General features: G+C 43.7%; 1 long non-coding RNA gene across 1 annotated transcript; it reads right to left on the bottom strand.

Moving 5' to 3' along the window:
- Nucleotides 1-567: 567 nt before the first annotated feature.
- On the bottom strand, nucleotides 568-4,452 carry LOC124900689 (uncharacterized). Its single transcript, XR_007058093.1, has 2 exons — nucleotides 4,242-4,452; nucleotides 568-1,154 (listed from the first exon to the last, which is right to left on the bottom strand). It is a non-coding gene; the product is annotated as an uncharacterized LOC124900689 (long non-coding RNA).
- Between the last annotated feature and the right edge of the window lie 12,454 nt (nucleotides 4,453-16,906).

Below are 16,906 nucleotides of genomic sequence, written 5' to 3'. Positions count from 1 at the left end.
TGTTGACTTTGGGAAGACCTTTATGAATTTCTTTCACATATGAGCTGCAAATTTATGGTGTGTTTATAATTGTATGCACCACATTCTCAAATATATTTCTGGTGGGAAAAAGTCTTTCATTTGACTAGGCATTGAATATGAATGAGTCCTCTACTTACAGTTTTACATATCTGATAAGTGGAAGAGTTTTCTACAGACTACCTTGTGATTCCATACATCTTAAATCTTGTTTCTTCACTATCCGCATATTTTTGGTGCCAGACATTGTAGAATTATTTGCATCTCCATCCAATCTCTGATGCTGTGTGCCAGGCAAGTCAGCCTGTGGATGGTAGGAGTATTTCTGGAAGCCATTCCAACATCTGTACACCCAGCAATAACTGAATAACTGAGCTATATATGAAAAGGACTGCAGATCACCTAATGTATCTCATGAAATCCAAAGTAAATGTAGACCATCTCATCTTCCCACTAGTCAAATCTCCAAAATGACCATCGTCACTCCAGTGGCACCAATATGAGAAGTTGGAAAAAGTCAAGTTAATTAATAAAAAATAGTATTCTTTCTGGATTTTTTTATGTTTGTTTTATTTGTCAGCATTTCCAACTTTATAATTTGTAGTGATTTTTTTCTCATTGTCAATATTTTCATTCTTAATTTTATATTCATAGTTTGTATTATTTTTCCTAAAGAGGATCCAAAATGGCATCAGTTTCAGGCCCCAAGAAAAATGTACCCAGGCCAGGTGCAGTGGTTCACGCCTGTAATCCCAGCACTTTGGGAGGCCAAGGAAGGAGGACTGCTAGAGCGCAGGAGTTTGAGACCAGCCTGGGCAACACAGGGAGGCCTTGTCTCTACAAAAAATGTAAAAAACTAGCCGGGCATGGTGGCAGGCGCCTGTGGTCCCAGCTACTCAGGAGGCTAAGGTGGGAGGATTGCTTGAGCCAGGGAGGTGGAGGCTGAAGTTAGCCATGATTGTGCCACTGTACTACAGCCTGGGCGACAGAGTGAGACCCTATCTCTGAATGAATGAATGAATGAATGAATGAATAAATAGTCTTGAAAATGGATCCATTCTTGACTGAGAGAGTTTACCCCTCACAGACATCAGTGAAAAGCCACTAAAAGGGGGATCTTCAGAAAGAAGTTGAACCTAAAAAGAAGACGGGGGATACAAGAAACAATGAAATAAATATTAACTGAATAATAATCAAAAGCATACCTCATTGCCCTGGCTATGCAACATAGTATGGCCTTCTAGATCCTACGATCTCACCTTTGCTCACCGCCAGCTTTAACCGTCACCATCCCTACTCGCCACTTACTAGCAAGCAGCCCAGGAATATTTGCTAAATAAATCAATAGACAACAAACTGAGAGTTGAACTCAAACCTTTTGCTTTCTAGCCCTGTTGTTTCAACTAGTGCAGTCCACTTCCCTGCCTCAGCAGGCACGGTGGAGTAAGGACTGCACAGTCTTTTTCTGATGACTGGTCCTTTCCTTATGTCATCTTAGGGTATAGAAGACTCCATAGACATGGCTGGTGCCCTTCCCAAATCCCCTCAGCCTACCCTGGAAGTGGCCTCTGGAAAGTTCTACATCTCTTCTGCCTGAAGATGTTCCCTGATTGGCAGTGTACTTGGAAGTGCCCAGGAGTTAAGATGCCAAGATAAACCCTCAACCATTAAGAGCCAGCTTCCTTGTCCCTCAGTGGGACAATCACGGGCATATTCCACTGTTCCTCCTCTTAGAGGGTCCCCAGCAGGATTGAGGTCCAGTCGCTCAGGGTCATCTCCCCACTGAGTTGCTTCCTGGGCTCGCCGCTCGACTAAACTGTTTGCACTCAAATCCTTATCTCAGTGTCTGCTGAGATGACACAGGGCCATTATTCCAATCACTGCCTGTGCTGACACAGCAGTGTAGGTGTGGAAGGTGCAAGATTGGACCGATTTTTTCTTTGACCCCAGGATACAGTTCTGGAAGACAGTGGTTTGGGGAAAAAAAAGACATTCCTGAAATATGTGAATTCTGACAGAATAAATCTTTCTCCTAAAAGTTTCAGATGCGTCAGCCTCTATGCTGCAACACTGAAAGAGGAGCGTCTTAAAAGCAGAAGAGTTGAGGGGCAAATTCAGAGGGAGAGGAGCATTGAAAAATGCAATCTTGGCTACCAGACGTTTTGCTGGAGTGAATAACATAGGAAAGTGCTTCTCTGGCTAATGCATTGGTCAGTGTCTTCCGTTTCACGTGGTCTGTGAGCTAGGGAGGCTGTCAGAGACTCTTAGGCTGTGACCAGCTTCCAGGGAGCTTAGGAAACCTGCTTCTGGTGCCTATATAGATCCTGAGTATTTGAACACAGCTGGGACCACTTCAGGCTGTCCCTATTCTCTGATTCATCAATGCAGAGGCAGGGATACTGGAAAGAAGTCTCATCTCCAAGAAAGGAGACCAGAGTGGTCTTCATCATTGCCTGGTTTGCATCCTGCTCATCCTGGGGAGAAAGACTACTGCTCAACCTCTCCCTAGACCCTTCCCAGGGCCCTGGAAGCTGGGTCAACTGGCCAGAAGCAAACCATTCCTGCAGGAGACACCACCCTTAGGGGTAGGAGCTCAGCCAGATGCTTGGCAGCTTCCCAGATTGTAAATATCTCTGCATTTTATAGGAGGCTTCAGACTCCAAATTATAGCGATGAAAAAGGAGAATCTTGAAAGCAGAACAGTTTATACACAGATCCAGATAGAGAGGAAAGGAGAGTCCACCTCTGGACTTGGTTGTCTGGTGAAAGGGAGGCAGACTCGTGAAGAGGTTTCCAGAGATGACGGAAGTATGCAGATGGTAAAGCCATCAGGGAGAGGCAGTGCCGGGATCAGCACAATGGGTGCCCTTGTGCACTGTTTGGGGATTTTTGTGTTTGTATGTTTGCAATCCCTGTCCCCCCTACAACCCCAAGCTGGGATCTGCTAAGAAAAAGAACCTGGCTTGCAGCAGCATTCTTCAGCTCCACTTGAAAGTTTGAAAAACCCCTGGATAGGAAAATAACCTCAGGGAGCCAAGTCTTTCTGCACTTGGCGAAGCCCTAGACCTAAAATACACATATGAACACTTCACTTTGAAAGGCCTGCAGTATTCATATCTGAGTCATCTGAAAACAAATAAAAAGAGACCTAAACAAACAAACCTAATTGTGCACGGAAACACAGCCAGGTTTCCAGCCTGGCTTCTCCTCTGTTTTTATTAGTCAAGAGCCAATATATGAGGCTTTCGTGGCATCCAAAACAAGCAAAAATATTAAAAACAAATTGCCAAGGCTTCTCCCTCTTCCCTCCTTCCTTTATGATGCACTGCACAAGCCAAGTTCTCGACTTTTCTGCATTGGCTTTCGAACCTCTTTCATTTAGTCCTGATAGACAGCTGCCTGCTTACCCGGCTGTCCAGGGGAAACAGCAACCCTGGGTGACGGTGACATCCGTAAACATCAGCACTTACTGGACACTTTGATGAAATTTAAGGAGATGTGTTTCAGGTCTTGAAATGTTATTGTTTTTACCATTAATCAAGGCAACCGGTTTGAGAACTAAGCCTGCCGACCCGAGTTCACTTAGGACAGACCTGCTCATTGCCCTCTGCCAGCATCCTACCAGCTGCCTTTCTTTTCTTCTTCTTATTTATTTCACCATTACATACACATTCCACTGTAACAGGCATCCTTTGCTGTTGCCAAACCATTTTCCTTTCTGGTAATATCATCCTTTTTTTTTTTTTTTAAAGTCCATGTAGTTTGGTTGGAGTCTGCCTTAACCCACCCTGCTTCAGGAGTGTGTGATCAAGGCCTGGCCAATTGGAGGCACCCATATTGGTGTAGGGATGGACACTAAATCCAATTTGGGCTATTGAGATGCAAACCTGGAACTTTTAAAAAGACTTCTGGGAAAGAAGCACACATTCCCCCAGGGATGTGTCTAGCTGGCAGAATGTAAGTCTGGGGCTGCTGGTGGTCATGTTGAACCAGAGATGAGTGAGGGAGAGGGATAAGAACTCATATGACATCATCTGAGCACCTGGATCCAGCCATGACTGAAGACTGATCTATCTTGGACTTTTCTATAATACAAATAAAACCCCCATTTTGTTTAAGCCACTTGTAGTTGAGTTGCTCTATCTTGCAACTGAAAGAGTCCACACACACACACACACACACACACATACACAAGCACCCCTTCAAATGACATGTGTACTTACATTTTTTTGCAACTTCCAACTGGACTACTACTCTTTCTTTTAACTTCTGGGGATTATCTTCTCAAAAGGAAGATTTTTGTTTGCTTGTTTGTTTTCGGTGAAATGCAATTTCAGTGAAATGTCACAGAGAAGTCCAGAAGATCATCTACTTTAGTCCTGAATCCTGGGAGAAAAATTGCCTCTGTCCCTTGCAGTGTGGTAAAAGATGAATGAATTCTCTCACCTAGCTTGCTTTTGATACGAAGAACAAAATAATGTAGTCATGACTGAGGAATTTCTTTGCACTCCACGGCTTGTTCTGATTCCAGGCATCCTACTCTGTGAGGCCAAAGGGACATCTGAGTGCCGAGATTAGTCTAGATCGAAAGCATGTGAAAGGCAACAACAACATCCCTGCCAAACAAAACCAAGGTAATAAATGACATACAGACATTTGGGGGGAACAATGGAAACTGTACGGCCACTGTTTTTTCTTTCTTGTTCTATGTGCCGTGAATAGGTGAAGGCTTGGCCTGTTTTATCCTCCTGTTAGCTAACTAGAAAAGGCACTTATGGTAATGTTACCAGAAGAGGTCCCAGTGTAGACCCCAAAAGAGGGTTCCTGAACAAATTTGGGAGCTGGGTGCAGTGGCTAATGCCTGTAATCCCAGCACTTTGGGAGGCCAAGGTGGGCAGATAACTTCAGTCCAGGATTTCAAGACCAGCCTGGCCAACATGACCCGTCTCCACTAAAGATACAAAAATTAGCCAGGAGTGGCAGTGGGCGCCTGTAACCGCAGCTACTTGGGAGGCTGAGGCAGGGAGAATTGCTTGAACCTGGAGGTGGAGGTTGCAGTGAGCCGAGATCACGACACTGTGCTCCAGCCTAGGCGACAGCAAGATTTCATCTCAAAAAAAAAAAAAAAAAGAAAGAATTTGGGGCGGGTCCATAGAGTAAAGTGAAAGCACGTTTATTAAGAAAGCAAACAGATAATGGCTACTCCATAGGCAGAGCAGTGGTGTGGGCTGCTTGACTGAGTATACTTATGGTTATTTCTTCATTATATACTAAACAAGGGGTGGATTACTCATGAGTTTTCTGGGGAAGGAGTGGGCAAGTCCTGGAACTGAGTGTTCTTCTCCGTTTTAGACCATATAGGGTAACTTCCTGATGTTGCCATGGCATTTGTAAACTGTCGTGACATTCGTGGGTGTGTCTTTTGCTTGCTAAGGCATTATAATTGGCATATAATAAGCAGTGAGGACAACCAGAGGTCATTTTTGTCACTGCACTCCAGCCTGGGCAACAGATTGAGACCCTGCCTCAAAAAAAAAAAAAAAAAAAAAAATTAGTCCTTCCTGTTGCTCTTGCACAAAATTCAACATGCTTGATTTTAGACATAGTTGTAAACGGAAGAAGATGGAGAAAATTTTTACTCCAAAACATCTTCTTGGGGAGAACGCTGGAATAAACAATTTGATAAATTGTTTTGGGTGACAGGAGGCAAGAGATAAGATCTCAAAGTGCCTGATTGAATAGCACAAGATGGTTCCAACCCTGACTTCTAAGCAGGGTGGATCTAATTTTGTAAATTGGAGAAGAAATGTTTTGATGTGGGGGAGCCAGGAGAGAGCTGCTTTGCTTTGCATAACAGAGAGGAGAGGGGTGTACTTCTGAAGGAGGTTCTGGGAAGGGGAGAGAGGGAACTATTGAAGGTGGGGCTCCTCCAAGAGAGAGTTCGGACACCTTTACTTTGGAAGAACAGAAACATCTGACTGGTTGTTTGACCCGATGGCCCATTGATGTGCTGGGTACCATATTACCTTTTCTTGTTTCCCCTGCGAAGCTGCCCATAAAGTCTATATTGCTTACAGACACATTTGTCTGATGCGGAACTCTAAAGAGAAGGATTTCTGTGTGCAAGTTGAAACGGGCAAAAGCAGAGAAAACACATGCAAATACAAATCTGAAGTTCAAGTTGACTTCTGGGTTCTATTTACCTGCATGCCCCTCCCAGTGGATGATAAAACTCCTGGGAGTAAGGGTCTATTTTTGCTTGTTTCAAAATTCATTGCACCTGGTACAATGCCTGGCATGTAGCAGACACCCAGCACCTCTATGATGAATACATGAATGAATGAATTAATCTCTAGGAGAAATCAATGAATTAATGGCATGACTTGCAGGGAAACATCTGCAACAAACATGGCTCTGGGCTGGCCTTGACAAATGAAGACGCCCAGAGAATTTCACCCCAAAATATGGCATCCTGGTATGATGAATATTTCAAATTCAAGGCCATTGGAGACCAGTGGATGCTGGAGGAGGCTTTTCCCTTAGCTGCATGAAGACTTGACCCACCAAGTGGAACAATTGCTTCCCGTCCCATCCCTGAAATCTCATTATCTATCAAGAAACAAAGACTGAGTAATGTAACAACAACTGGACAGACCTTTTTATAAGATAATATCTGTCTCTCAGGTTTGTTTAGATTCCAAACAGAATAATTTACAATTGAATTTCAGTCTCCTGGGTCCATTCATTCTCCCTAATAATCATTTACTGCTCCTCAAAAGAATTACCAACATTTCCCATCTCCCCCCTTCCTTATGGAGAAAGTTATATAAGAATCTGGACCACATGGAGATACTGAGTAATATTCTGCAATTCCCTCATGCTGTGCACATTAAAATAAATTTTGTATGTCTTTTCTCCTATTAATCTGCCTTCTTTGTCAGTTGATTTTCAGCAGGCCTCAAGAGAGTGAAAGGGAAGTTTCCCCTTGGTCCCTATGCTAGCTTTGGCCAATGGAACATTAGCAAACAGGCTTGAAAAGTATCTTGAGGCTCACTCCCTCAGAACCTGGTGACCTCCAGATGAACAAGCTTGAGATGGCCTGCCTGATGATGAGAGACACAGACACCAGCCAAGCCATCTGTGTCACCCCAGCTGATGTCAAGCCAATGGCCAGACATCTGCAGGAGGCCCTCCTAGACCATCTAGCTCCAGGTGAGTCCATCCAGACCAGAACTGTCCAGCCGTCCCACAGAATTGTGTGAAAGAATAAATGTTTGTGCTTTTAGCCACTGATATGGTTTGGCTATGTCCCCACCCACATCTCATCTTGAATTCCCATGTGTTGTGGGAGGCACCTGGTGGGAGGTAATTGAATCACGGGGGCAGATCTTTCCTGTGCTGTTCTCATGATAGCAAATAAGTCTCATGAGAGCTGACGGTTATTGTAAGGGGGAGGTTTCCTGTACAAGCTCTCTTTGCCTGCTGCCATCCACGTAAGACGTGACTTGCTCTTCCTTGCCTTCCACCATGATTGTGAGGCTTCCCCAGCCATGTGGAAGTGTAAGTCCAATTAAACCTCTTTCTTTTGTAAATTGCCCAGTCTTGGGTATGTCTTTATCAGCAGTGTGAAAATGGACTAACGCAGCCACTAAGTTTTGGGGTGGTTTGTTATCCAGTAGAAACTGACTACACCATGATCCCATTTTATTGGTAAGGAAACGAAGGCTTAGAGAGGTGGAGACAATTGCTTCGAGTCATGCCTATTTAAATGGTGGGTCTGTCTCATGCCAGCCTCTGGTCCCTTGCTAGTGTAGCCCTGTGCCTTCTCTTCATAGAAAGAACTAGTTTCAAGATCAAGGTAAGAGCTTGTTCACTCACACTGGGGGACCTATGATTAGAACAGGCCGGACAGCATTGCTGTCTGGAGACTAAAGTGCTGGGTAGGAACCTAAAATTCCTGACTCCAAGTGGCTCTCAAACCTAGCTGCATATTAGCAGCATTGGGTTTTTTAAAAAAAATCCCGATGGCCAGGTCACACTCCAAACCAAATAAATCAGAATCTCTGAGGGTTAGACTCAGTATTTTTAAAACTCCCCTGTTAATTTCAACAAGCAGCCAAACTTGAGAATTAGTGTCTTAAACACTTCTAAATGGAGAAGTTGGTTGGGGTTGGAGAAACTGGAGCTATTAAACCAGAAAAGTCCCCTACAGGATAGACATAGTGACTGTCTCCAAGGATTTGAGGGAGGGGCCTCCCAAGGAAGAGGGACCAGGAATAACAGCATCATTGATTCAATGAATATACATTATGTGCTCAGCTCTGCATTATTATTTCCTCCCTCAAGGATAGCAGAAGTGACAATTATGTAGATGCAGAATCGCAATCACACCGTGACTAATATTATGGTTATATGTTCCAGGTAATAGTAGCAGCATGGAAAAGGCAGAGATTGCTCTTTCTAGCCGGGGCCAGAAAAGGAGGCACTGGTAGTCTTGCAGGAATGAGGAGAACTCTGTGTTCATTAATTAGTGCTGCCCATGAAGGGACCAGGCACTCCAAGTATCCTAGTCAGCTCAGCCTGCTATAACAGAATACCATAGACTGTGTGGCTTAAACAACAAACATTAGTTTCTCACAATTCTGGAGGCTGGGAAGTCCAAGATCAAGGTGCCTGCTGATTCAGTTTTCTGGTAAGGACTCTCTTTCTGGCTTGCAGATGACCACCTTCTTGCTGTGTCCTCACATGTCAGAGAGAGAAGGTCTCCTTCTTTTCTTATAAGGGCACTAATTTCAGAATAGGGGTTCCACTCTCATGACTTCATGTAAACCTAATTACCTCCCAAAGACCCCACCTTTTAACATCATCACAGTCATTGGGGATTAGAGCTTCAATATATGACTTTGGGGGATGCACATTCATCCCATAGCACCAGCAGGCAGGTTGTGGCCTGGCACTGGAGGGTGAAGCAGAGAGGCTGGTCAACCCAGGAAGCTGGGAGGTTGTAGAGGAGAATCTAACACTGAGAATAGGAGGGTGAAGTGGATAGAGGGGGAATAACAACCCCCACAGCCCCTTTGTATCTCTCAAGATATTGGGTACCTGAGTTTGGGGAGGAGTTGGGCCTTCTGGTGGGAGCTAAGTGACTGCAGCTATGAGGGCAGGGAGGCATCTGGTCTTTTTAATGAGGGTGCTATTTGGACCTCTGTACAAGAATTGCAAGTCCTGATCTCACAGCAGTAGCTGCTGAGCCTTCTAGCACTTTCTTTTTCCAAGTATAGTCGTGGACTGGAAGTATTGACCTCAACTGTGGGCTTCCTAGAAGGGCAGAATCTTGGGCCCACCCAAAATTACTCAATCAGAATCTGCACTTCAACAAGAGCCCCAGATAAATCTAGGCACATGAAAGTTTGAGAAGCACTGCTCGAGTACCCTCTACCCACCAGTGGGATCACTATATATACTATATATCCAGCCAATACATGCTCTAGAACCCAGAGTGCCCTCTGTGTATTGAGCCAAGCCAGCCCTGGTTTGGGGGGTAGCAGCCAGCAGAAATTGTCAGCCAGGCCACATCAGGGGCGTGTTAGAGGATACAAAAATGTATGGAGCAGGACTGAAGGTTAAGGGCAGGGAGTCTGCAGCAGGAGTTCCCTTGAGGTCAAGAGTGCTTTGAGATGGTCAAGAATAGAGTTCCTGACTCCTCTCTTCCATCCTTGAAGGCTTTTACTAAATAATGTTTACAATCCATGCATGTTGGCCAAACTGCTAGCTACAGCTTTGCCTCCTGACAACTTTTCTTCCCTTCATTTGTGAGAGGCAAGGAATTATGGATTCAAAGCGGGCCGTGGCTACCAGACCTTTGATCTTCTGGGTCTCAAGTGGTCAGAGAGTCCCAGAAGGCTCCACACACAAGCCCCTGGGCACCTCAGGGAAAGGCAGATGTGTCTCTCATGCATGCCGGTCATCCCATCTGCTAATGACTTCCCTCCTTCCTAATGGTCTTCTCTTTGCCTCAGAATCCACAGCAAGTTGCATTCCTGACTGGAGATGTCAGGGGGACCTCGTGTGAACTGCCAGCACTGAATCGTTTCTGAGGTTGGAAGAAATAGTTGGGAGGCTGCCCTCACCTTCCAGCTTGGAACTGGGCTGAATGCAGTCCTATGGCTCACTCCGCAGGCCACCCGCTTGGCTGGGACACAGCTTTGGCAAGCCTTGCTCCTGGCAGGCTGGACTCATGAGAACCCTGGCATTTCAGAGCGTGTGTCAGGGCATGTGGAAGGAGAATGCAGTGTGGTCACAGGGTAAGCCAAGACCGGGGAGATGGCCTGCATGATAAGAGGGGAAGTGGACCCAAGGGGGTTGGGAGTCAGAATTTCTGAACCCTGAAATCATCTCTGTGAGGCACTGGGGAGTGTCAACTCTGAGGATGATGAGGGGAACTGTGGGCCCTACGTTGCCCCCCCAAAGCCAATGACAAGCATTTGGCTCAGTGATATGAGCTGATCGATGATTCAGCCAACATCTCCTCCTCCAGGAAGATTTCTCGGGTTACCCCATTAGCTTTTCTGCTGGTAACTGCCACTAAGACTCCCACCCCAGGAAGGGATGATCTCCGCTAAGTTATTTCTGCCACTAAATTCTTCCCATGAGATCCTGTCAAAAATTATGGAAACTGAAGCTTAAACAAGAGAGGGCTTTTCACCTACTGCTTGAGCTGAGAGTTCCCACCTCCCTGGCAGAATGCCATGTGACACAGAACCTTTGAACCCATGTCTCGAAAATGGTACCAGAGGCCATGAACCTCCCTCAGAATGACATTTTCCAGGCTTCTTGTCCTCTCATAGTACAGATCCAAGTGCCTGTTGGTCCCTAAGAGGGGAGGAAAACTTCCGTCTGCCCAAACTAAGACCCTGTTCTTTTCTTGACCCATGGGAGTATTCACGGCCTGTAGGAGAAACCCATTCAGCAAGTGATTCACTGGCCCATTGATCCATTGATCTGCTGATCTATTGCTTGCATGCAAAGCCCCATTCCACCTGCTGGGCTTGTCCCCCTGCCTCATATAAGACACAGCTAATGCATTTCTAAAGCCTGGGTTTGCTGGTCTTAAATGACACCATATGGTGGTCACAACATCCTGGCCCAGGCTAAGTCCTGGTCATAGTTTTTCCTCTGACATTAGGAGTGAAAAGTCCAGGCTCTCCGTCCCTCTGCTACGGATGTCCCCTCAATCTCCTGTGGGCAAAGAAAGGGCAAGGGCACAAGTACTTCCAAGAAACAAACAATGATTTCCAGTTGTGATGCTGCATAAATACAGATTGAGGAAGGAAAAGGTTCTCTAACTCAGCAAGGAGATAGTGCTGGGAGTACTCCCAATTTGCATAATAGATAGAGTACTTCTCAGTCTGCCTTTCAGCTGCTTCATGATGTTGGACCCCTCCTCCCCAGTGGTGGGTAAGCACTTTCATTAGGACTAAGAGGTCTTCCCGAGTGCTCCCTCTCAAAAGCAATAGAGAGTGTGCCTCACCAACATAGAGTTTCCTGGATCAAAAACTTCCTACAAACTGGCAGATTTTCCAACTTCAATAATTTAACACCTGCTAGTACTTGTTACAACTATGTATTCTGTGCCAGGCATGGAGCTGAGTGCTTTACATATGGGACCTTGTTTAATTCTCACAGTCATCCTGGAAAGTGGCTTCTATTTTTACTTCTGTTTAACAGATGAGGAAGCGAAGGTTCAGAGAGGTTATATTGTTCAAAGTCCCACAATGAGTGAGTGAACCAGGATTCAAACCCTTGTCAGACTCCAAGCCCATGCTCTTAGCCATCACACCATATGACCTCCAAAATGGAGCCCCGTCACCAAGTGCAGGAGAACCACACATCCTGGGATTTCCAAGTCCCTACACATTTAAAATGTCCTGTGGCTTTTTGTCATAAAAATACTTGAGCTTGTCAGATGAGTATCTTGATTTGAGGTTTGACAATATATTCACCCAAACTGTTTTCCAAACTCGCTTCAGCAATGCCTTACGTCATGGGGCTTTTAAAAGCACAGATCCAAGCATCTTGCCCCAAACCTATTAAAAGTCAGACTCTCCAAGGGAGGATCCAGGGAATCTGTATTTCTAAAACAAATTCCCAGGATGATGCCTATGACGCCTATGAGCTACAATGTGTGAGCAACTGTTTCCATGCTTGATGGAGTGAGAGGAATAAAACCTGCTTAAGAAATGGTCCTTAAATTCAAAAAACACATATTTCAGTAAGGGGGCAAGATAGAGTCAAATACCAAAGTGTGCAACAGCTAAATAACAAGCTGTATAGTCCTAACTATGGAACAATTCAGAAAAGGGGTAAATCATGAACTAGAAAAATCAGAGAAGGCTGCACAGAAGAGGAGGGACTTGAAGTGGGCTGTGTAAGATTTGGAGGAGGGAGAAAGAAGAGAGAAGGGTATTCCAGACAGGAAGAGCACAAAGAGCAAAAGTCTTGAGGGGAGAATGAGCTTGATATTTTTTTATGAAGCAGGGAGAGGGTCAGCCCACCAATCTGGGGGATGGAGAGAGAACGTGCAGGAAGGAAGTTAGCCTAAGCAGGGCAGGTTCTGGCACGAGGTTGGTTTAGGTGTGGGTAGCACAAGGGAGCCACTGTGGGCTCTAGAGCAAGTACTCACATGATAAAGGGTGATTAAGTTAAGGTAGAGCCTGAGATGGTGACAGGAGAATTAGCCAGATCCCTGCTCTCCAGCTCTTTGAAAACAGATGAGAGACTGCACCAGAGAACACCCAGGAGTGTCCTAAATCTGGGGGTCCCCTGAGGCCTTAGGGGAGGGATCCTTTCTTGGCACCCGATTCTGCAAAAGCTATCTTCAAGTGAGGTGTTGGGCTGAGAAGGAGGCATTTGGAGAATGGGGTTGTGAGGTTGTGCACACCTGTTTCCTAAATGGAGCAGTGAGTGAGGGAAGGAGACAGTACACACACACACACACACACACACACACACACACACACACCCCAGAGGGGGAGGCTCAGACAAAGCCAGAGAGCAGTGGAAATTCTGCATAAGCTATCTTAAGCAATTTGATGTGAGTCTAAATTATTTTGGCACCAAAGCATGATAGACCATATGGAGAGAAAAAAGTGTGCAAAAAGAAAGGTTGAAAAACATTTTTTTACAAAATAAAGAAACAAGGGCTCATACAGAAAGAAACCAAGAGTCTGGCCTGATGGCCCTGATATATAGCAGAGTTTAGTCAAATCTTTCTGTAAAAAAGTGAGACATTCTGAGGAACCAGCTTCACTGGGTTGCAATAATTTTATGTGCCAAATAAATGGTCCTAATTATAAGAGAGAGAATTGGTCGAGACTGTTGGTTTGAGGGAACTCAAGTTCAGAGCACTTCAAGACAAAAGGGAAAGGCGCTGGCTCACGTAGTAGAGTAGTCTCGCTTCAGGCACAGCTCAATCCAGGGCACTCTTGTGATATAATCAGGATATTCTTTGCCCATATCTCAAATTTGCTTTCCTCAGTGTGCCCTCACTTCTTGACACTTTTTCCATGTTGCAGAAAACCTGATGCTCATTGTCTCCAGCCATGGTCCGTCAGAAGGAGAGAAATCCTCCCTCTCCCAAAGCCCATTTTGTTCCTTTGCCCACTCTTGGACCCATCACTGTGTCAGGTAAATGGGGTACTCGGGTTGGCCAACCTGAGTTTTATGGCTCCTCAGGTGGTGGGAAGGCAGTTCCCCTTGATTGACAGCCCATCAGATTTCCAAAGTGTTGGGAGGAAGAAAAGTCTCCAAGAGGAAAAAATGTGGCACAGAAAAGAGAGTTAGATATTGGTGATAGTGCTACAGGAGTTCAGTGTCCAGAGAAATGCTCTCTAAGGAGAATAGTCATGGAAGACTTCCCCAGGGAAGTGTGATATGTGTTCAGCCTCAAAGGGCAAAGAGAACTTGGGTCTTGGGAGGAGACAATGTGGTGTTACAGCAAAACGCATGGCTTGGGCAAAGACACTGCAGGAGTCCTTGCTCCTAAAAGATTTCCACCAATCTCTGGTTATATTCAAATGTCAATTTCCTCTCACTGTCCCTTTGTGTGCTTAATTAATGGTGGTATTGAGGCTGAAGAGAGCAGCATTGGGGGTTCTGTCTGTACTTAAGAGGCAAGATCACTTAGGCATGGTGGCTCACTCCTGTAATCCCAGAACTTTGGAAAGCTGAGGTGAGAGGATCACTTGAGGTCAGAGTTTGAGACCAGCCTGGGCAACATTAACTGTGTTGACCCCATCTCTACGAATACATATATGTGTGTGTATATATATATATACATATATACATATAAATACACACATACAGACAGACACACACACACACACACACACACATATATATATATATATATATATATTTAAATTAGCTGGGTATGGTGACTCTTACCTAGTCCCAGCTATTCAGGAGGCTGAGGTTGGAGGATCTCTTGAGCCCAGGAATTGGAGACTGCAGTGAGCTATGATCATGCCACTACGGTCTAGCTTGATGACAGACCAAGACCCTGTCTCAAAAAAAGAAAAAAAAAGACAGGATCACTTATTTCTCTTAGGTCATGAAATAAAAGGGAACCAGTCCCAAAAAATGCTGGGCAAAATGAGAGGCTGTCCTCATTTCCCAATGCACAGAAGACTCTACACTCCTGGAAACCACTAACCATGTTGGACACAGCCAAGTTCAATGTGATCACTTCCCTTCAAGGGTCCTACATCAGTGCCTTGGGTGGCAGTCACATTTGTCCTCTAAGTGATCCCATTTATATCAATCAAAAGCTACTTCCCTCATTTCCCACTCACTCAGCTGGGGCTTGGTGAAGAGTCTCTGTCCCCAGCTGTGGGGGTTCTGGGTGGTCTTGCAAAAGGAGAGGCTGATCCAGTCTTGTTGGTCCTGGCTCACATGCACTCACTCATTCACTGATTACTTATTGAGACTTTGTCATATGTAAGGCACAGTGCTAAGCCTAGGTGCTGAAGAGACAATTCAACATAGTCTTTGCCCTTAATGAGCTGTTTACTGGGGAGAGAGATGTGTGGTAGATAAAAAACACGTTTGCTACTGAAGATCCCCACCTATTTGGAGATAATTGTTCCTTCCTTGCCTCATTCATCTGTTTTACCAAAGACTGTTAATCACAGATCCTATCTCTCTCTGCACCACAATCGTTGGCTCAGGCACAGGCAAATGAAGCAATCTGATTAAAAAAAAAAAGAGAGAGAGAGAGAGAGAGAACATCTTTATTGGGATTTTTCAAGCTTTAGTCTGCAGGTGCCATGTTCTTTTCTTGTTTTTCATGATGATTGGAGGATGTGACATGTAATGGTATGATGAGATATTTTTCAATTAAAATTCTGAATTTAGAGCATATAAAAACATAACCATTTTTAAAATGTTGATTTTGCATCCAGCAATCTTGTTTAACTCACATATTCATTTGAATAATCTGACAGTGAATATTCCTGGGGTTTGGGAGGAGGGATTTCTATGCAGATAATTGTATTGCCTGCATATAAAAAGTCTCACCTCTTCTCTTCCAAGTATTAAGCTGCTTATTTATTTTCCAGCTTTGCCTTAGACAGGAACTCCAGTACTGAATAGTTGGCTGAGAGTGGGCATCCTTGTCTTGTTTCTGATTTTAATGCAAATGATTCACAGGTTGCACAATTAATATAGTGCAGTCATAAAAAAGAAAATCTTCAAGATGTATGAACTGAAATTTGTATGTATTTCTTATAACATTTTTATACCAATGGTAGCATACTGCACACATTGTTTTGCACATTACTAAGCCTATACATATATGCTTGCATACGGTTTGAATATCTGTGGATGAATACAAACGAAACTGGAAACATAAGCAATTTCCAGGGAAGGAACTGGGTAGGTGGAGTGTGTGTATGTGGCGGGTAGTAGGGGTTATATTTACCTCAAAGTATCACTTTAGCTGTATACTTGTTTGATATGTAATCATTTGAATGCTCTTCAGTTCAAAATATTTTCTGTTTCATTATGATTTCCCTTCTAACCCATCTGTTGTTTAGAGTGCATTTTTTAGTTTCCAAACTTTTGGAAGTTTGACATTCAATTTAATTGCAATGTGAACAGAGAATGTAGACCTTATTATTTTATCTCTTTGAAAATATTGTGATCTAACATATGATCACTTTTTAAGTGTTCCACATGTATCTGAAAATAATGTGTATTCTTCATTTAATGGATACAGCATTTTATATAGATTTTAAAGTGTTTAATGTTTTTGTTTAAATTTAAATTCTAAATATTTTTGTCAGCTTTATATAACATTTTTAAAAGATCAGTTAAAATTTTCCATTATAACAATTTTTTCCCATTTTTTCTAGTAATTTAGTCAGTTTTGCTTTTTATATTTTGAGGTTACATTGGTAAGGCCATGTAAGTTTATTACTACTATACATTCTTAGAAAGTCATTTCTTTTAATGTTCTATATCATCCCTTTGTTGCTATTACTTTTTTTACATTAAACTTTATTTTGTCTGACTTAACTATTATAATCTCAGCATTATTCTTGTTAGTATTTGTACAATATTGTATATCTTTTTCTCTACCTCTACTACAATTTTGCTATGTGGCTTTGACAGTATGCCCCAGAATTTTAAAAACTTTAATCTGATAATCCCTACATCTTTATCAATGAATTTATTCCATTTACATTTATTGTAATTACTGATCTACTTGAAGCAATTCCTACCATTTTATTTTGCACTTTCTATTTGCCGTTCATTTTCTTTGTTTCCTTTTTTCCTTCCATTTACTCTGCTGCATTGATAAAGTTTTCTATTACCTTTATAATTCACA

The sequence above is a fragment of the Homo sapiens genome, chromosome 4, assembly GCF_000001405.40.
Source record: "Homo sapiens chromosome 4, GRCh38.p14 Primary Assembly".
In the NCBI taxonomy this organism is placed as follows: domain Eukaryota; kingdom Metazoa; phylum Chordata; class Mammalia; order Primates; family Hominidae; genus Homo; species Homo sapiens.
The sequence above is the reverse complement of the archived record's forward strand: the minus strand, read 5'-3'. Positions and strand labels throughout refer to the sequence as shown.